Genomic DNA, 20,714 nt, shown 5'->3' on the forward strand with positions numbered 1-20,714 from the left:
TGCATGTGTTCATGCTTGTGTGTAGCACATATGTGTATATGAACATGTGTGTGCGTGCATGAGTGTATCTGTGCATGAGTGCATTTGCACGTGCATGTGTGTGAATGTGTGTGTGCATGTGGACATATGTGGCCATGTGCATGTGTGCATGCCTGTGTGCAGCACACAAGTCTACTTGTGCATGTCTATGTGTGTCTGTGAGTGTGCATGTGTGTATCTGTGCATGACAAGTGCATTTGCACAAGTGCACGTTTGCGTGCATGTGCGTGTGCGTATGTGTGTCTCTGTGTGAATGTGTGCATACATGTGGGCATATGCATGTGTGCAGCACATGTGTATTTGTACATGTACACGTGTGAACATGTGTGCATGCATGCATTCGTGTGTGTGTGTGTGTAGGGATAAGGTGGTAAAGCCAGCACGGGAAGCAGAGACCAGACTGTGCAGAGTGTTGGAAACCGGGCTACAGAGGGCAGATTCTGCCAGAAGGCAGCAGGGAGCCCTGGACATTTCCTGTCCATATTTGCATATAGAAAGACCCCTCTGGGAACAGAGAGGAGAGTGGGTTAGAGGGAACCAGAGTGGACAGGAGACCCTGGCTGTATCCAGTGGGAGGTGATGGTGGCCTGGAATTGGGGGCAGGGCGATGATGGAGAGAAAGGGGCTGTGAGATGCGTCCAGGCAGGAGGCTGGCCAGGGTCCTCCCCCAAGTGGCCCCCGCCCCTCAGTTTCTCCAGCTGGGCCTCTGCCCAGGCTGGCATAAGCCTGCCCTGGGTCCCCCTCGGACTCTCCCACACACGTTGATCCTGCTTCTCTTCCGAGCCCATGAGGCAGGGATGGTGTCTGAAAATTGCTTGTAGCCCTCGGGGATACAAAAGAGGCAAAAATCGATACCAGCACGCAAAAAAGAAAAATGCTAAATGGAAGGGAACCGCCTTCTGTTGATGCTTATGGGGGGGCAGATGCTTGGTTCAGCCCCATTTCACAGAGGCTGCGGGCAGCAGTGGAGGCCCAGCCCCACCAGCCGGAGCCAGAAACAGCTCAGGATCCAAAGCATCTCTGAAAGAGGGTGGGAGGTGCTGCCTTGGGGCTGCACTTGGGACAAGTCCCAGCTTCTCCTGGCCTTGCCCTCCTCTCCACCCCGAAGCCCCTCCCACAAGGCTGCCGAGGAGGTCAGAGATTGGGGAGTCCGGGCTGGCTGCCCCAGCCAGTGGGAGGTCAGATCCTGCATGAAGCTGGGAGTGGCGGGCAGACAGCCCACCCTCCTACCCGCAGACCAGAGGTAAACATCTGATGCCCAGACGGAGGTGCAGAAACTTCTAGATGCAGCCAGCTGCTCTGCAGTGGGGAGAAATATAGATCTTGAAAAAAAAATCCTATGGTTCCCAGAGGTAACAGCGTGGATGCCACATTTGCAGGCGTTTCTGTGCACACGCAGCCTGCGCAGTTACCATCTGAGCTTCCCACGCGGACCGCCCATACTGTTACCCTCAGCTGCCTCCTCGCGCCAGTGCCTCCTGAACATGTCGGGATCCATGGGGGCTGCTTTGCTGTTTTTCACCAGCCCAGAATTCCCTGGGTCCCATATCCAGCTGCTCTGTGGCCTATTGGTGGTCATTTGTCCTTTTTTTCTTTTCTTTTTCTTTTTCTTGAGATGGAGTTTTACTCTGTTGCCCAGGCTGGAGTGCAGTGGCGCGATCTTGGCTCATTGCAAACTCCACCTTCCAGATTCAAGCGATTCTCCTGCCTCAGCCTCCCAAATAGGTAGCTGAGGCTCGCCACCACGCCCAGATAATTTTTGTATTTTGAGTAGGGACAGGGTTTCCCCATATTGGCCGGGCTGGTCTCGAACTTCTAACCTCAGGTGATCCGCCTATCTCGGCCTCCCAAAGTGTTGGGATTACAGGCGTGAGCCACCAGGCCCCCTTTTTTTTTTTTTTTTTTTTTTTTTCTGATGTTGGGCTATTTTAAGCCACGCTGCAGGGGGTACCCATGGGCACCATCGGTGTGTCCTGTGGGGAGTATTTCTAGGTGCAGAGTGTTAGAGTCACTCACTGGGTCCTGAGATGACCACTCCGTGCCTCAGTTTGCTGATCTGTGAGATGGATTCTAGCCCTTCCTCCTTTATAGGATTAAAGGAGGGAGAGTGCGAGATGTGGGATGAGTTCTCTGATTTCCATGTCCCGCCTGGGTGTGGGTGGCTCAGGGCATGGGCCCAGAACCCGGCCTCTGCACCCCAGCCTGGCCAACCAGAGGACAATGCCCGGCTTGGGAGAACAACCGGCCCTTGCTGTCAAGGCGTGAGGATTAGATGCAGAATAATGCAGTCCCCGATCAAACCTGCAGCTGTAACTCAGGCCCCAGACGCTGCCAGTGCCATAAATTTGGGGGGAAAGTGCAGCTCTAGCAGTTTGCGAACAAGAGCGGGGGAGGCTGAGTGAATTACAGCCCAGAGGAAGCGAAGGCCCCCTGCCTGGCATTGTTAGCCCCAGCCAGGGACTGATTGCTCACTGCCTTTAATGAAATTGAATTTTAATTTATATCCCAACCCAAGGTGGGGGACAAGGGTGTGCCCGGGCAGAGGTGGGCTCAGCCCCAGGATGGGGGCTCCTTCTGCAAGAGGAGCTTGCAGCCAAGTCCTACAGGAGAAAAAGATGGGCGCCCGGGGAGCTTCTCCAGCCCAAAGTTTCGAGGTCCTGCCAGTGCGGGCTCTGGGCAGGGTGCGGCCCCCGTTTGGCAATTCCTGCCTTGCTTAGGTGCAAGCCCCTAGAGGGCTCAGCGAAGGGGAGTCCCCGTCTCTTCCTTGTGAGAACTGGGAGCTCTGCCAGGTTGCAGGGGGAAGCCTGGGGAGAGGGGGAGCGTAATGATTTGTGGGGTTCGTTGGGAGCCCCCAGCTCCTTCACCTCTCCAAGGTTCCCAGATGACACATGATAACCCGCTGCACCCGATTTCCATATATCGCATGGGGCTTTTGAGGCCTTGCCAAGTGCCAGGTGAGGCTCCACGGGCACCCGTGTGGCCTTTGCCTCCTGTCTGTGTGCACCTGCTCTGGGTGGTCGAGGAGGGGCCATACCTCGGGGGCAGGCTGGCCTGGCTGCCAATCCCACCTGCACATTTCCTGGCCTTGGAAAACCACTTCCCGCCTCTGAGCCTCAGTTTCTACATCTGCAAACTGGAGATGAGGAGCACACCTCCGCCCAGAGCATCTGAAGGGGGACAGGAAGTTTGCAGGAGCTGCGGTTCTGCAGCGGCGCTTTTCCAGACCCTGCTCCGAGCTCATGGTTCAATGTGCTGGCGGCCAGCTGGGGGTGGGGGGTGATGGCCATCAGGACGCCACCCCCGTGGCCACGGCAGAACAGTGGTCTCCTTACGGCCCAGTGAGGAGGGGCCTCACAGAGGGGCTGGCAGGCGTGAGGGCATCCTGGGAACAGGGTTCCCGTGCAAGGGTTGCGCCTGCCGGTACAGGGGCTGGGAGGGCCAGGGCCTCCCTTGCGGCTGAACAGACGGGCTCAGGAGGCAGGCAGGTGGGGGCTGCAGGCCTCCCCCGACTTGCCTGGGAGCCTGGGAACAACATCTAGGGCTTGTTCTCTGCCTTCCTCACTGTGGTGGCCCCAGCAGGGCCCCTGGACATGCATCTGGACCCTGTAGTGGCTTCCTCTGTGGCCCTGAATGCCTGGTCTCCTTTGCAGGCCACAGGTCCCCCGTTAGTAAAGTGGGGAGTTGTCCTGGCTCCTGAGGACCTGTGGATGCCTCCCTACCCTGTGCTCTCCCCATTGTGCCACCCACACGCACCCATGAGCCCCAGAATCCACGTGTGGGGCCACGGCTCTCAGGGCTTTCGGGCCAGTCCTGCTCCCAGCCCTGCCAGTGTGCACCGTGGCAGGGCCTGTGGCGGGGGATGGAAGGCAGCTGCCTCCCTCAGTGACTTAGGACAGGTTGATCAGGCTGCGGCTGATGAGTGAGGCATAAATCCATTGGCTGCTGGTGGAAATTATTTTCTGCTGGTGGAGCTGTCAAGTGAAGCCATCGGTTTAGACACAGGGTGTGTGTGTGTAGGAGAGAGACTGGGGGAAAGAGAGACTTCCACACTGACTGTGCTGGGGGCGCCTTTGGAACCCAGGAGACATCTTTAGCTCCTACCTTTCGATTTTCAGGTGGAGAGACTACTCAGGCCCAGAAAAGGACAGGCACTCGGTTGAGGTCACACAGCAAGGGAGTCGGGAAGTTGGAAGGAGGAGGATGTGGAAGACGCAGTTTGCTCCTGGGTCCTCAGAAAGGAGGCTGGGTGTCAAATTCTACCCTTAGGAATTTTAGTGAGCAGGCGGTGCCTTTGTGCATAGAAAAAGATGCCCCATCCTCTGGGTGGCCCGGCCCAGCACCAGGGCGTGTGGCCAGTGAGCAGGCACAGGCCGGGCTCAGCCCACCTGGACCCCTGACTGCATGCAAAGGGTTCCAACTGGCACCAATGTGCCATTCCTGACCCCGCCTTAAACAAACGGATTATAAAAGGAAATTTTATAGCCATAATTTATGGGCAGCCAGCAGTGCTTGCCAAACATAGACGATAACACAAAAATAAATATGTCTCCAATACATTTTATACTCTTTTTTTTTTACCCCCCAGAGACAGGGTCTCTCCCCACGGTCCAGGCTGGAGTGTACTGGTGCAATTATAACTCACAGCAGCCTCCTGCTCCTGGGCTCAAGCGATCCTCCCACATCGGCCTCCTGAGTAGCTGAGACTACAGGCATGCACCACATGCCTCACTGATCTTTTTGTATTTTTGTAGAGATGGGGTTTCACAGGCTGGTCTGGAACTCCTGGGCTCAAGCGATCCTCCCACCTCGGCCTCCCAAAGTGCTGGGATTATGGGTGTGAGCCACTGCGCCCAGCCCTATCTTATATTATTATAATATTTATGATATAAATATGTATATATGACATAGATGCATATATGGATATACATACTTTTTTTTTTTTTTGAGACGGAGTCTCGCTTTGTTGCCCAGGCTGGAGTGCAGTGGCGTGATGTCCACTCACTGCAAGCTCCGCCCCCCGGGGTTCAGGCCATTCTCCTGCCTCAGCCTCCCGAGTAGCTGGGACTACAGGCGCCCGCCACCACGCCTGGCTAATTTTTTTGTATTTTTAGTAGAGGCAGGGTTTCACCGTGTTCACCAGGATGGTCTCAATTTCCTGACCTCGTGATCCGCCTGCCTCAGCCTCCCAAAGTGCTGGGATTACAGGCATGAGCTACCGTGCCTGGCCAGATATACATACTTTATATTTGTATAATATTATCGTAAAAGGTTTGTAATCCCAGCACTTTGGGAGGTCAAGGCAGAAGGATCGCTTGAGCCCAGGAGTTCATGAGCAGCCTGGGCAACACAGTGAGACCCTATCTCAAAAAAAAAAAAAAGTGCAAACCTGAAGTGCAAGCAAACCTGCTTATGAGGATTAATTGATCAAGTTGCTCTCCTGAGGTTTGGGGAAGGAATGGAGGATAGCTGAGTTTTGATGGGGACTGTGGCTGGGGGTCAGGGCTGGGCAGGTGCCATGAGGTAGGGTGCTGGTAGCAGGTGGCAGGGGATGGGATGGAACAAGGTCTGGCTAAGCACCAGGCACTGGGCTCAATGCCCTGCAAGTAGCTTCCCTGCAGTCCTGAAGGGGGGCTTGATATCCTCACTTTATTTTACCTTTGTATCTTTTTTTTGGAGACAGAGTCTCACTCTGTCACCCAGGCTGGAGTGCAGTGGTTCAATCTCTGCTCACTGCAACCTCCAACTTCTGGGCTGGAGCGATTCTCCTGCCTCAGCCTCCCGAGTGGCTGGAATTACAGGTGCACACCACCACGCCTAATTTTTGTATTTTTAGTAGAGATGGGGTCTCACCATGTTGCCCAGGCTGGTCTGGAACTCCTGACCTCAGGTGATCCACCTGCCTTGGCCTCCCAAAGTGCTGGGATTACAGGCGTGAGCCACCGTGCCTGGCTGTATCTTCTTCTTTTAAAATAATTCAAACATACAGAACACTGCAGAGTAGCAGAATGAACCTGCCAGGTACCTGCCTTCTAGCCCTATCTGGTCCCAATATGCAGGTATTTTCTTGGTATCTTGTGAAGAAACAGACCATGATAGATGTTACTGAAGCCCCACTCCCAACTTGCTCCAACCCAGCCCTCTCCCCTTCTCTGTCTCCTGAAGAAGAGCCACCTTCTCAGTTGATTATCCATTTTTCCATTGCAGGAATTTATACTGTTATTGCATATGTACATAACCATAAATAATATATGCAGTATTGTTTTTCAATTTCATAGATCTGTGCCCATTTTATAGTTGGAAACCCTGCGGCCCAGGGGACTGAGCCACTTGCTCACGTGCACATGGTTGTGAGTGGTGGAGCTGGGCTCAGACCCTGGGATCCTCCCTCCGGAGTCCCTCTCACGGGGGAATTCAGTGACCGTGGGTGGGGGTGCCCTGGAGATACATTTCTTCTCCACAAAGGCTGCCCTGGCTCAGGGATAAAGACACGTGGATTTATTGGAATGGCTTTTAGGGCCTGGGGACCTGCTGGGTGGTGCCAGGTCTCAGGGGCTCCGGGTCACATGGGGCGGGAGGGAAGAATGTGCAAGGGGCCTGCCCCTTGACTCCATGTTCTTTTGCAGAAAGGAAATCAATACCTTCCTGCTCCAGCAGGCTGGGGCACGAAGCTGTGGCCTGTGAGGTGACTGGAGCTGGGAGGCACCTTCTCTGCAGAGCAGGGAAAGGCTTAATCCTGGGAGACTTATGTCACCAAGGATGGCAGAACTCTGGGTGAGGGGAAGGGGGTCCTGGTCACCCCTCCTTGTTGCGCTGGCTGAAAAGTGGGGTAGTGGGCCTGAGAGGGAGGGTCTGCCAGGGGCCTGGGTTTGCCCATCTGGCTTTGGGCCTGTCTGGGGGGATGTGAAGAGGGTGGGGTGCAGCTGGGGGACATCTGGCAGTCATAGCCTGCAGGGAACAAGGCCACCAGGGGGGCCAGGGTGGAGAGGACAGTCGGGGTGGGGTCTCTGTGCATGTGCGTGGGACCACAGTGAGGGTCCGGTACCCACGTGTGCCCCACCATGGACCTGACACCCCCCCACCCCACCGTGCACAGACATGTGTGTGCACACATGTGTGTACACCTCTCCACATACACACACACACACACACACACACACACACACGGAGCCAAACACACACGTGCACACACAGAGCGCAGTGGAGTCCTTCCCACAGCTAGGGGGTGCTAGAAGTCTTCCCAGCAGAAATTCATTGGCTGAAACCGACGGACACACACTCACACAGAGGAAAAAAAAGGAAGAAGGAAAAAGAAAAGAAAATCCCTCGAAAAATATAGCCGTTGATGGTAATTCAAGTCGACAACACCCGTAAATCCTGGAGGCTGATAACAACAATAGAATATGAACGGAGCGGTGCCAGATTAACCGAGATATTTGATGCTTTGCCACCCAGATCAATAAGCCGCACTGAGATTTTTCCCGACATTCGGACCCCGAGCTGGTCCCTGCTGTAGGTTTGTGGGTGTCGTGTTCACCTCCGTCCCAACTCATTCTTCTTTTTTTTTTTTTTTTGAGACAGAGTCTCACTCTGTCACCCAGGCTGGAGTGCAGTGGCACCATCTTGGCTCACTGCAACCTCCATCTCCTGGGTTCAAGTGATTCTCGTGTCTCAGCCTCCCGAGTAGCTGGGACTGCACGCACGCACCACCACGCCCAGATAATTATAGGCACACGCCCTGGGCCCAGCTGATCTTTGTATTTTTAGTAGAGACAGGGTTTCACCATGTTGGCTAGGCTGGTCTCAAACTCCTGACCGCAAGTGATTTGCCCACCTCAGCCTCCCAAGGCCGAGGGATTACAGGTGTGAGCCACTGCGCCCGGCCTCCAACCCCCTCTTCCAACTTCTCTGTGCAGCATTAGGAGCTGCCTAGGGGTGGGGGGTGAGAAATCACATTTCTGACGGCGATGCCCCTGGGTCTTAGCTGGCTGTTCTGTTCTTCAACGGTGACCCAAATTGCAGCAGGGAATTGGGCCTGCCAAGGTCTCTTTCTGCTGGGCCAGGAGCCCCACTGGGATCCCAGCCATGGCTGGGCTGCTGCCACCTCCCCTGCTTGGGTTCTGCTGCTCAGCCCCAGGAGGGACAACTGCAGCAAAGGGACCCCACCCTGTACCCCCAACCCTTGTGCATGGGGAGCCCGGACCAGCAGCAGCTGCCTTCAGATGGCTCCTGTTTGCAGTGTAGCTTCCCTCATTCTCATTCACCGCCAATGGCAAATGTGCGTGTCTGTGTAGTTGGTAATTTTATGCTGTCGGGGTCTCCAAGGACAGGGAAAGATGGGCTTTTTAATTTTAACTTTTAACAATTATTTTAGGCCAGGTGCAGTGGCTCATGCCTGTAATCATTGCACTTTGGGAGGCTGAGGCAGGTGGATCACCTGGGGTCAGGAGTTCCAGACCAGCCTGGCCTAAATAGAGAAACCCCGTCTCGACTAAAAATCAAAAAATTAGCTGGGCGTGATGATGCACACCTATAATCCCAGCTACTTGGGAGGCTGAGACAGAAGAATCGCTTAAACCTGCAAGGTGGAGGCTGCAGTGAGCCGAGATTGCACCATTGCACTCCAGCCTGGGCGACAGAAAGACTCGTCTGAAAAAAAAATTTTAGGTTCAGGGCACACACGTCCAGGTTTGTGACTTGGGTATATTGTGTAATGCTGAGGTTTGGGCTCCTACTGAACCCATCACCCAAATAGTGAACCCAATTGTAGGTAGTTTTTCAACCCTTCCCCCACTCGCTTCCTCCCACCTTTGGAATCACAGTGTCTATTGTTTCCATCTTTTTTTTTTTTTTTATTTTTTTTGAGATGGAGTCTCGCTCTGTCGTCCAGGCTGGAGTGCAGTGGCGCCATCTCGGCTCACTGCAACCTCCGCCTTCTGGGTTCATGCCATTCTCCTGCCTCAGCCTCCCGAGTAGCTGGGACTACAGGCGCCCTCCACCATGCCCGGCTAATTTTTTGTATTTTTAGTAGAGACAGGGTTTCACCATGTTAGCCAGGATGGTTTGAATCTCCTGACCTTGTGATCCTCCCGCCTCAGCCTCCCAAAGTGCTGGGATTACAGTATTGTTTCCATCTTTACGTCTGTGTGTACCCACTGTTTAGCTCCCACGTATAAGTGAGAACATGAAGTATTTGCTTTTTTGTTTTTGCATTAATTCACTTAGGATAATGACCTCCAGCTGCATCCATGTTGCTGCAAAGGACACGATATCATTTGTTTTGATGGCTGCATAGTATTCCATGGTGTATATGCACCACATTTTCTTTATCCAGTCCACTATTGATGGATGCTTAGTTTGACTCCATGTCTTAGCTATTGTGAATAGTGCTGCAATAAACATACCACTGCAGGTGTTTTTTTCGATTGAACGATTTATTTTCCCTTGGGTAGACACCCAGTAGTGGGACTGCTATATTGAATTGTAGATCTATTATTATTATTATTATTTTGTGTGTGTGTATTTTTAGTAGAGACGGGGTTTTGCCATGTTGACCAGGCTGATCTCGAACTCCTGACCTCAGGTGAACCACCGGCCTCGGCCTCCCAAAGTGCTGGGATTACAGGCGTGAACCACCGCACCTGGCCAATCTATTTTTGGTTCCTTGAGAAATCCCCAAACTGTTTTCCACAGGGGCTGAATTAATTTACATTCCCCTGGCAGTGTGTAAGCGTTCCTTCTTCTCTGCAGCCTTGCCCGCATCTGTATTTTGACTTTTTAGTAATGGCCATTCTGACTAGTGTGAGATGCTCTCTCATGGCAGTTTTGATTTGCATTTTTCTGACGATTCGTGACGTTGAGCGTTTTCTCATGTTTTTTCGCTGCTTGTACGTTTTCTTTGGAGAAGTGTCTGTTCATTTCCTTTGCTCACTTTTTAATGGAGTTTTTTTTTTTTTTTTCAAGAGAGTCTTGCTCTGTCGCCCAGGCTGGAGTGCAGTGGTGCACTCTTGGCTCACTGCAACCTCCACCTTCTGGGTTCAAATGATTCTCCTGCCTCAGCTTCCCAGGTAGCTGGGATTACAGGCGCCCGCCACCACGCCTGGCTAATTTTTAGTAGAGATAGGGTTTTGCTGTGTTGGCTGGGCTGGTCTTGAACTCCTCCTGGTCTGAAGCAATCTGCCCACCTCGGCCTCCCAAGTGCTGGGATTACAGGCGTGAGCCACCGCACCTGGCCTTGTTGTTTTTTCTTGTTGATTTAAGTTCCTTATAGATCCTGGATGTTAGTCCTTTGTCGGATGCATAGCTTGCAAATACTTTCTCCAGATGGGCTCGTTTTGGAGGTGACTTCTGGGCCAGACCTCCCAGGCTCTAGTTTTGTTTCAGGGTCTGTGTTCCTCACTGCTTTGAGCTCTGGAGCAGCCTGTATCTGGCCATTCTCAAGGTCAGGGCTGCCTGTGAGATGGCTGGAGGGGACGCTGCCATGGAGCCCTCAGCCTTTTGTCCAGAGCATGTCCATGGTGGGCCCCGGCTGCTCAGGGCTTTTCCCCACACCAGACCTTGGTCCTGTTGTCTATGGTGGAGGCAGGGCTGGGCTTTCTGGCCTTACTGTCTGCCTATCCAGGACCCTGTCTCTGCAACATTCCTTGATCAAGCACTTCCTACACGCTCCAGGCTCTGTGGATGCAGGAGATTCAGGAGCGGGTTCTGACGGAGAGGGGAGCAGCTAAGCCAACCTTGCCGGCAGACACCAGTGATGAGGTGGACGGAGCGGCCGGCGGTGGTCAGCACTGAGACCCAGGAGGAGAAGAACAACGCTTCACGCCTGGACATAGGTTTGCAGTTTTGAGAACACATCCATTCTTTCAACAACACTTATTAGGCACCAACTGGGTACCAGGCATGTGCATAGCAGTGCCTAGGAAGACAGGGTCCCTGCTCTTTGACATTTAAATTCTGGTAGGAGTTCCCTGTGGCTGCTATAAGGAATCACTGAAAACCAGGTGGCTTAAAACAACAGAAGTGTACTCCCTCACAGTTTCGGAGCCAGGAGTCCGAGGTCAAGGTGTCTGCAGGACCTCCTTCCCTAAAAAGGCTCTGTGGAGGGTCCTTCCTGCCTCTTCCAGTCTCTGGCGGCTCCTGGAGTTGCTTGGCCCATGGCTGCGTCATTCTAGCCTCTACCTCCCTCTTCAGCCTTCTGGCCTTCTCTGTGTCTCTGTATCCAAATCTCCCTCCTCTTTTTTTTTTTTCTTTTTGAGACAGGGTCTTGCTCTATTGCCCAGGTTGGAGTGCAGTGGTGTGATAACAGCTCACTGAAGCCTCCAGCTCCTGGGCTTAAGTGATCCTCCTCCCTCAGCCTCCCGAGTAGCTGGGACCACAGGTGTGCACCACCATGCCCAGCTAATTTTTGTATTTTTTTGTAGAGATGGGGTCCTGCTATGTTGCCCAGGCTGGTCTTGAACTCCTGGCCTCAAGTTATCCTCCTGCTTCGGCCTCCCAAAGTGTTGGGATTACAGGGGTGAGCCACCGTGCCCCGCCTCCCTCCTCTTTACGTGGACACCATCACTGGATTTGGGGACACACCCTAATCCCGTATGACATCTTAACCTGATTACATTGGTAAAGACCCTATTTCCGGATAAGGCTACAGTCACGGCCACTGCAGACTTGGGCACATCTTTCACGGGGAGGTAGTCCGGTCAGTCCAAGAAAACCATGCAGCAGCTGAGAAGGGAGAAAATGCGGAGGCCGAGGCGGGCCTGAGCCCCATACCAGGGGAGGGGGGGAGGGAAGCGGGAGGGGGCAGCAGAGGGAACACCGCCACTAAGGCCTTGCACAGAAAGAGTTTTGGGGACCAACAGGGGGCCAGTGTGGCTGAATATAGCCAGTAGGAGGAAGAAGGTTCTGGAAGGGGCCAGGCCATGTAAGCACGGCAGATTGTTCTCATTTAATTCCAGCAGCAGGGGATCAGGTGCTATGGCTCTCACCTGTTATCCCAGCACTTTGGGACGCTCAGGTGGGAGGGTTGCCCTGGCTTAGGAGTTCAAGACCAGCCTGGGCAACATAGCGAGACCTCCTCTCTACTAAAAAATAAAATATAAAAAAATAAATAATAGTAATTCCAGGCTGGGCGTGGTGGCTCACGCCTGTAATCCCAGCACTGTGGGAGGCTGAGGTGCATAGATCACTTGAGGTCAGGAGTTCGAGACCTGCCTGGCCAACATGGTGAATGAAACCCTGTCTCTACTAAAAAAAAAATATACAAAAATTAGCCGGGCGTGGTGGTGCAAGCCTGTAATCCCAGCTACTCGGGAGGCTGAGGCACGGGAATCGCTTGAACTTGGGAGGTGGAGGTGTAGTGAGCCGAGATGACGCCAATGCGCTCCAACCTGGGTGACAGAGCAAGACTCCATCTCAAAAAAAAAAATAAAAAAAAAAAATTAGCAATTCTGGTAGCTTCCAATGGGAAGGTCTCAATCATCACAGTGACACTCCAATTTGTGTTCCAGAAAGATCCCTCCATCAGGGCGCTCTTCATTCGAATCCATGGATAGAGAATTCAGGGAGTCTGTGAATGTTGAATGGAAAAAAAAAATGACATCTTTATTTTCCCTACCCCCTAATGGAAAGTGAGCATTTCCTTGCCTTATGAATGAATGGAAGAAAAAAAAAAACAAAACTGCAGAGGCATGATGCAGCGCCTGGGACACGTTCATCAGTAGAAACACGGGGGTCTTCCCATCCCACTGCAGCTGCCGCAGGTAGCGTGAAACACCAAGCATGCTTGTCACAACTCCAGAATAACGACAGCTGTTGGCCCCACTGCCAGAGCTTGTTATTCAATCCTGTGATTTAATACATTCACTCACCACACACACAAAAAAGCATGCAAATTACCGGATTACCCATTTGCTCTTTAAATATTTTGATAAGAAAGTTGGCTTCCTTTGCGATCCTGTGTGTTTTATTTCATGCATTTGAAAATGTTATTTTGAGAAGGGAGTCTCTGGGCTTTCAGAGGCTCAGGGGAGTTCATGGTTCAGATGGAGCAGAGGGTGGGGCTGGAGAGAAGCAGGGGATTTGAGGTGTCTGTTGGGGTTCAGCTGGGAACCGGGGATGAGGCTTGGGCTTTAAGCCTGAGTGACTGGTGGGTGGGGATGCCATTGGTGGAGGGGGAAGAGGAACAGGTTTCCTCTTTCCAGGGAGAAAGTGTTGGGTTTATTTTTAAAAATTATTTATTTTTTTGAAATGGAGTCTCCCTCTGTAGCCCGGGCTGGAGTGCAGTGGCACGATCTCGGCTCACTGCAATCTCTGCCTTCTGGGTTCAAGTGATTCTTCTGCCTCAGCCTCCCAGAGTAGCTGGGATTACAGGCGCCTGCCACCATGCCCGGCTGATTTTTTTTTTTTTTGTATTTTTAGTAGAGATGGGGTTTCACCACGTTGGCCAAGCTAGTCTCAAACTCCTGACCTCAGGTGGTCCGCCTGTCTTGGCCTCCCAAAGTGCTGGGATTACAGATGTGAGTCACCGTACCCGGCGGTTTGTTTGGATTTGGACACTGAATTTGGGGAAATCCAAGCAGAGATGCCAAGAGGACCTGGCTCTACTAGGCTGGCCATTTAACAGCTGGGCTGGAGGTGCCTATGTGGGGGTCCCCTTGCATGTGGGGGGGTCCCCTTGCACGGGCTCACTGGGTCCTCACAGTGACTTCCTGTGGCTCGTCACCCAGCCTTTCTAGTGTGACGTTACCTCCCTGGGCTTACAGAAAGCTGTCAGAGAGCTCAGATGTGGCCATTTCCAACCCTGGGGCTCCACGTCATCCCACAATATGGGCATCTCCCAGCCAACAGACACCCTAGGACTCCTCACTGTGAAATCACATGGGATGGCACATCTGGGGGCCCGGCTACTCCATCACCAAGACCCCAGGCCAGGCGTGGTGGCTCATACCTGTCATCTCAGCACTTTGGTAGGCTGAGGTGGAGGATTGCTTGAGCCCAGGAGTTTGAGACCAGCTTGGGCAACATAATGAGACCCTATTTCTTAAAAAAAAAAAAAAGAAAGAAAATTAGCTAGGTGTGGTGGTGCGTGTGTGTGGTCCCAGCTACTCTGGAGGCTGAGGCAGGAGATTGAGCTCAGGAGGTCGAGGCTGCAGTGAGCTGTGATCATACCACTGCACTCCAGCCTGCGTAACAGAGCAAGAACTTCTCTCAAAAAGAAAAAGAAAAAGGAAAAAGAAAAAAACAAGACACCTAATGTCCACCTGGGCCTTGGCTGGTAACAGCCAAGCAGCTAGTGGTCTAAAAGCCTGTGTGTGTGTGTTTCTTTCTGTTTCTCTTTTTCTCTCTGTTCTGTTTCCCCTCTTCCTGTTTCTGTCTCTCCCTCCCTCCTTCCCTGCCTCCTTCTCCTTCTCTCTCCCTTCCTTGGTCCTTCCTCTCTGTGTCTCCTTCTTCATCCCTTCCTCCGTCCCTCCTCCTCTTCCTCTTCTGTCTCTCTGTCTCCCTGTCTCGCACACACACAGAAGCAAATGCAATTTCACAGCCTCATACCTGCGTTCGTATCCCACCCATCATACAAGCTAGGAGGGGCACACAGCGTCGGTCAAAACAACATCAGAACTGAATGTGACATGTAATAAGGAAGAAAGACAATCCTGTATCAGAGACTCATTTCCAGTCACCCCAAGCCGCGTGGAAACTTTCAATACAATTTTTAGCCAAGCACCTGGGGTTTCAAAGCAGACTGTGCTGAGAGGAGAGGGTGTGAGCCTTTGGCCCCCTGTTCACAAACAGCTAATTTTAGTAGCCAAACAAACCAGAAAGCCCCCAATCCTTTCTCCTCTCTCTCCTCCACGCCCCCGCCTCACCCACCTGCTTCCCGGCGCAGCTGCAGCTCCTGCCCACAGCGTGAGCCCCAGCTTCCTGCCAAGGGCCCCGGCTGTCTTGCCTTGGGGCTGCCAGGGAAGGACGATACCGAGGAGTTCAGGGACCCAGGTTGGGGTGCTCCTGTGCAGAGGACCTTGTTGGCACCAGGGGCCTTGTTGACCCCAGGGGCAGTGCAGGAAGTGGGCCATGCTGGGGACCCTCAGTCAGGACCAACCTCTCCATATCTGGGTCTGCAGGGAGGAGGGGCCAGGGCTCTGAGCTGAGCCCCCACATATGTACCAGTATTGGTGGCCCACCCTTCTCATTCTTTTTTTTTTTTTAAATTTTAATTTTAGTTTTTTTTTTAATTAAAAACTTTTTTTTTTTTTTTTTTTTGAGAGAGAGTCTCACTTCATCACCCAGGCTGGAGTACAGTGGCGAGATCTGGACTCACCGCAACCTCTGCCTCCCGGGTTCAAGCAAGTCTCCTGCCTTAGCTTCCTGAGTAGCTGGGACTACAGGCACACACCACCACGCCCAGCTAATTTTTTGTATTTTTAGTAGAGATGGGGTTTCACTATGTTGGCCAGGCTGGTCTCAAACTCCCAACCTCAGGTATCTTCCCGCCTCCACCTCCCAGAGTGCTGGGATTACAGGCGTGAGCCACTGCGTCCGGCCCCCACCCCTCTCATTTTTCAGCACTGCCTCCTGAGCACCTGGGAACTCCAGTCTTCCTGAATTTTGTCTGACCTTGACCTCTGTCCTTGGACCTGATGCACACCTCAGTGAAGCTTGTACCAAGTAAGCCCTGAGGCGGCCGTGAGAAGCCCTCGAAAGTTCCCCTGTTCATTATTATAGTTACTTTTAGAGACAGGGTCTCACTCTGTGGCTCAGGCTGGATTGTACCATCACGGATTACTGTAGCCTTCAACTCCCGTGCTCAAGTGATCCTCCCACCTCAGCCTCCTGAGTAGCAAGGACTACAGTGTGTGTCACCACGCTGGCCAATTAAACTTTTTTTTGCAAAGACAAGGTCTCACTATGTTTCCCCGGCTGATCTTGAACACCTGGCTTCAAGTGATCCTCCCACCTCGGCCTCCCAAAGTGCTGGGATGAGAGGTGTGAGCCACTGTGCCCAGCTGGAGGTTTCTGTCTTCAGATCTCAGCTCTGTTCCCAGATGTGAGACCCCCCTGAGCCTCAGTTTCCCCATCTGTAAAGTAGGAATGATGGTCACCAGGGGAGCAGGTCTGTGCTGGGTTTGTAAACACCAGGTGTAAATGGGCAGGTGCATGGTAGGTACCCTTGTCTGCTGGAGGGGACCGTTCTCTTTGCCTAGTTTGGAGGTCACCTTCAAGGTTAGAAGACCCAGAGGCCTCAAGCAAAAGGAGCTGCAAGCCCCACTCCGCTCGCCCAAAGCGGGCACTCAGAGGCATGTGTGCGGCAGTGACGGTAATGGGATGTGATGGGAGATCAATGGGAACACAGGCAGCTGCCTGGGTAGGGCTGTGGCTATCCCAGCCCTGGGGTTGCTGCTCTAGTTCATCAACAGAGATCTGATAACAAGAGGCCAGGCCAGGTGCCGGGGCAGGAGGGGAGCTGCCGATGGCAAAGGGACTCAGGCCCGTGGGGAGGGGGAGCCCTTTGACCTCTTAGGTGAAGCACTGCTAGACCCAGCTCCCCAGAGGCCCCCCACCGTGAGCTGGCCATGGGCAAAAGAGACGTCTGCTTTCAGTTTCTGATTATTACTATTATTTTTTGTTTTTGAGAGGGAGTTTCGCTCTTGTTACCCAGGCTGGAGTGCAATGGCGCGATCTCGGCTCCCTGCAACCTCTGCCTCCCGGGTTCAAGTGATTCTCCTGCCTCAGCCTCCCTAGTAGCTGGGATTACAGGCGCTCGCCACCACGCCCGGCTAATGTTTGTATTTTTAGTAGAGACGGGGTTTCAGGTTTCACCATGTTGGCCAGGTTGGTCTCAAACTCCTGACCTCAGGTGATCCACCTGCCTCGGCCTCCCAAAGTGCTGGATTACAGGCGTGAGCCACTGCACCCTGCCAGTTATTTTTAACACACAAAAATTCAATGAAATCCGTGGATCGGGAGAAAAGGTAGGTATGACCTGAGGAAGGGTTGCCCAGGGAGCCGTCCACTTGCCCTCTCGGCCCCTCCTCTCTCTCTGAATTGCGTCTCCAACCTGCCAGAATGTCCCTATGAGCCCTCTGGTGTTTTTCTTGAAGTTTATTGTGTTTTCCTCCTCAGCGTACTGGTCGGTGAAGGCCTGGGGGAATGAAATGTGTCTTGAGAAAAGCCTGGGTCACAGAGTAGGGTGGGCCACGTGGGATCTCGGGAGTGGGTGTCCCTGGTGTGCCCCCTACTGGTGACCTCTTCCCTGAGGATGGCCAGTCCCCACAACCCCGCTGAACGCACAGGCCTGGGCAGCCACCTTCCCGCCATGTGACCCTGCCTGGTCCCGCAGTGAGTCGAGCCGGAAGCCTGCTGGTCCAGTCAGATTCCTCCTGCAGCACTGGGCTGGAAGCCATATGGATATGCGGGCTGAGTATAAAAATGGTCACTGGAAGCAGACTCAGAGAGGAGAGAGAGGATCCCGTTGTGCGAAAGGCAGAGATGAGAAGAACCAGGTGTCCCCTGTCTGGGAGAAAGTTGTAGACAGACGTGCTAGGAAAGGTTCCCTGCTGGCCCGGCGCAGTGGCTCATGCCTGTAACCCTAGCACTTTGGGAGGCCGAGGCAGGCGGATTGCCTGAGCTCAGGAGTTCAAGGCCAGCATGGGCAACATGGTGAAACCCCGTCTCTACTAAAATACAAAAAAATTAGCTGGGCGTGGCGGCGTGCACCTGTAGTCTCAGCTACTCAGGAGGCTGAGGTAGGAGAATGGTGTGAACCCGGGAGGTGGAGGTTGCAGTGAGCCGAGATCGCACCATTGTACTCCAGCCTGGGTGACAGAGTGAGACTCTGTCTCCATAAAAAAAAAAAAAAAAAAAAAAGTTCCCTGCTCTCTGGGGAAAAATCCTGATTCATGGCTTTTGCCACCTCCCTGGTATAAACACCTCCATCATGCCAATATCAAGCTGCCCCTGTAAAGTCACTGAATAGGGACTTGGGAAGAGGTATCCACAATCGGCTCTTGCTGGTCTGGGCTGGGTGTGGCCTCGGTTTCTGATAGTTTCACTGTCTTCATGGGGCCTGGAGGCTGTCCACTTTCTGGCCATGAATCTTGTCCGCCCCTCCAAAGGTGTGACCCAAGGGCAGTCTCTCAGAAGTGTCTGAAGCCAAGAAACACAGCCCAGCAACCAAGTAAAGGAACTCGAAGACTTTTGCTTCTTGGCCAGGCATGGTGGCTCATACTGGTAATCCCAGCACTTTGGGAGGCCGAGGCAGGAGGATCATTTGAGGCCAGGAGTTTGAGACCAGCCTGGCAGCATAGTGAGAATCTGTCTGCATAAAATATTTTTTAAACATTTGTCAGGTGTGGTGGCATGTGCCTGTAGTCCCAGCTACTCTGGAGACTGAGGTGCGAGGACTGCTTGAGCCCAGGAGTTGGAGGCTGCAGTGAGCCATGATTATGCCATTGCACTCCAGCCTGGGTGACAGAGTAAGACCCTGTCTCTAAAAAAAAAAAAAAAATAAGGAGAAATCCTAACTGAGGAGGAGGCCCTCCATTTTTGCTTTGGGCACCAGCATGTGAAGATGTGATATCTGGATTGGTGGCAGCTATTTTGTGATAATGAGGCAACCTACCTGACAAAACCAACAGTTTTCTTGAACAATCTGTTCTGGCCAGAAAGAGCCTGCTTCCTGCATGACACCAAGCAATTGAGGCTGAGTTCCAGGTGTCCCTTTTAAGTGGATTATGTCCTCTCCAATTTGCCACAGTCCCCGCCTGTCCCTATTGCATTACTCTGGTCCACTTCACTCATTTACATTCTTGCTGGCACCTGGGCAACTCCAGTGGCAATGTAATAACTTGTTTAATTGCATGCCTATCCCAACAAGCTGTCAGCACCTTGAGAATAGGGACTGGGGCTGATAAATCTCTGGGCTCTTGGACCCATCCCTGTGGTTCCAGGGACATGGCAGGAACTCAGCGACTGTCCAAGGCAGGGCAGGCGCATAGAAGTATCTGCAATGATGGAAATGTTCTCTAATCTGCTCTGCCCCATACCGTAGCCACTAGCCCCATGAGGCTCTTCAACATTTGAAATGTGGCTCATGTGACAGAGGAATTGGATTTTTATTGACTTGTAATTAAAACCCAAATCCCAAATTCCTCGGGGAGGTGGAGTTGAGGTTTGGCGACCCTGCGATTAAACCCCTTTCTCTGCTGCAAGCTGATGCCTTGGTGTATTGGCCTGCTATGTCCAATGGGCAACAAACCCATTAGGGTCACAGAGCCAGGGAGGCAGACGGTGGGGCTTGGAGCGGTAACTGCTCTTCAACTGGTAAGGAAGAATCCAGTATTTTCCCCAATGGATCAGCTCTGCCAAGGCCATGACTAGCTGAATCCATGACTGGTCCCTGACCACTCTTTCCAGGCTTCGAACCTCAGCTTCGCTTTTCCTCTACCCACAGTCTACGAGGACACACTCAGTGAGATCTAACTCATCCTTCAGGCCTCACCTCTGACCCTCCCGCTTTGAGCCCCTGGCGGAATTGATCGTTCCTCTCCTACCCTTTCACCAGAACCCCTTCCCGTGGGGCATGTTCACCCTGAGGATGCCCTGAAATTGGTCGGTGAGTGAATGTTAGAACAAGTGAAGGAAAGTTGGGGGGGGCCCTGCAGGCTGCCCCTCCTGACGGCCTTCCTCCTCCTGCAGCCAGAGGGAAAGGAAAGATTCGCTTTTGTTCATGCTTTTTTCTTTTTTCTTTTTTTTTTGAGATGGAGTCTCGCTTTGTCGCCCAGGCTGGAGTACAGTGGCGCAGTCTCGGCTCACTGCAAGCTCCGCCTCCCGGGTTCACGTCATTCTCCTGCCTCAGCCTCCCAAGTAGCTGGGACTACAGGCGCCCGCCACCACGCCCGGCCAATTTTTTGTATGTTTTAGTAGAGATGGGGTTTCAACGTGTTAGCCAGGAGATTTAGCTAGGATGGTCGCGATCTCCTGACCTCATGATCCGCCCACCTTGGCCTCCCAAAGTGCTGGAATTACGGGCGTGAGCCACCGCGCCCGGCCCACGCGTTTTCTTTTTTTTAAAAACAATGGTGCAAAAGTACATATGACCTAAACTTCACCATTTTAACGATTTTAAAGTGTACAACTCAGTACATTCACAATGCCGTGCAATCAGCATCACTGTCTAGTTCCAAACAGTTTCATCACCCTAAAAAGAGACCCTGCACTTATGAAGCAGTCACTCCCATTCCTCTCTCCCTGACGCCTGGTAACTGCTAATCTTTTTTTTTTTTTGCCTCTAGGGATTTGCCTATTCTGGACATTTCATATAAATGAAATCCTACAATATTTGTCTTTTTGTGGCTGGCTTGTTTCACTGAGCATAGTGTTTTCAAGGTTCATCTAGGTTGCCATGCGTATCAGCATTTCGTTCCCCCCCTTTTTTTTTTTTTTGAGACAGGGTCTTACTCGGTTGCTCAGGCTGGAGTGCAGTGACACAATTAAAGCTCACTGCAGCCTCGAGCTCCCGGGCTCAAGCGATCCTCCTGCCTCAGCATCCCAGGTAGCTGGAACTATAGGTGTGCATCCCCAAACCCAGCTAGATTTTTTTTGTTTTTTATTATTTTTATTTTTTTTGAGACGGAGTCTTGTTCTATCACCCAGGCTGGAGAGCAATGGCACGATCTCGGCTCACT

The 20,714-nt window shown here is 52.6% G+C and overlaps 2 annotated features.

Moving 5' to 3' along the window:
- Positions 7,300-7,359: a silencer, noted in NCBI's record as "silent region_17889". NCBI's record gives its function as "represses an Ori minimal core promoter by ATAC-STARR-seq in GM12878 lymphoblastoid cells {active_cell/tissue: GM12878}" and the evidence as "EXISTENCE:reporter gene assay evidence [ECO:0000049][PMID:35858748]".
- Positions 16,961-17,462: an enhancer, noted in NCBI's record as "H3K4me1 hESC enhancer chr7:2936507-2937008 (GRCh37/hg19 assembly coordinates)". NCBI's record gives its function as "activates a minimal SCP1, AML or CMV promoter by ChIP-STARR-seq in naive H9 embryonic stem cells {active_cell/tissue: H9 hESC(naive)}" and the evidence as "EXISTENCE:reporter gene assay evidence [ECO:0000049][PMID:30033119]".

Source organism: Homo sapiens, chromosome 7 (genome assembly GCF_000001405.40).
Source record: "Homo sapiens chromosome 7, GRCh38.p14 Primary Assembly".
Lineage (NCBI taxonomy): Eukaryota > Metazoa > Chordata > Mammalia > Primates > Hominidae > Homo > Homo sapiens.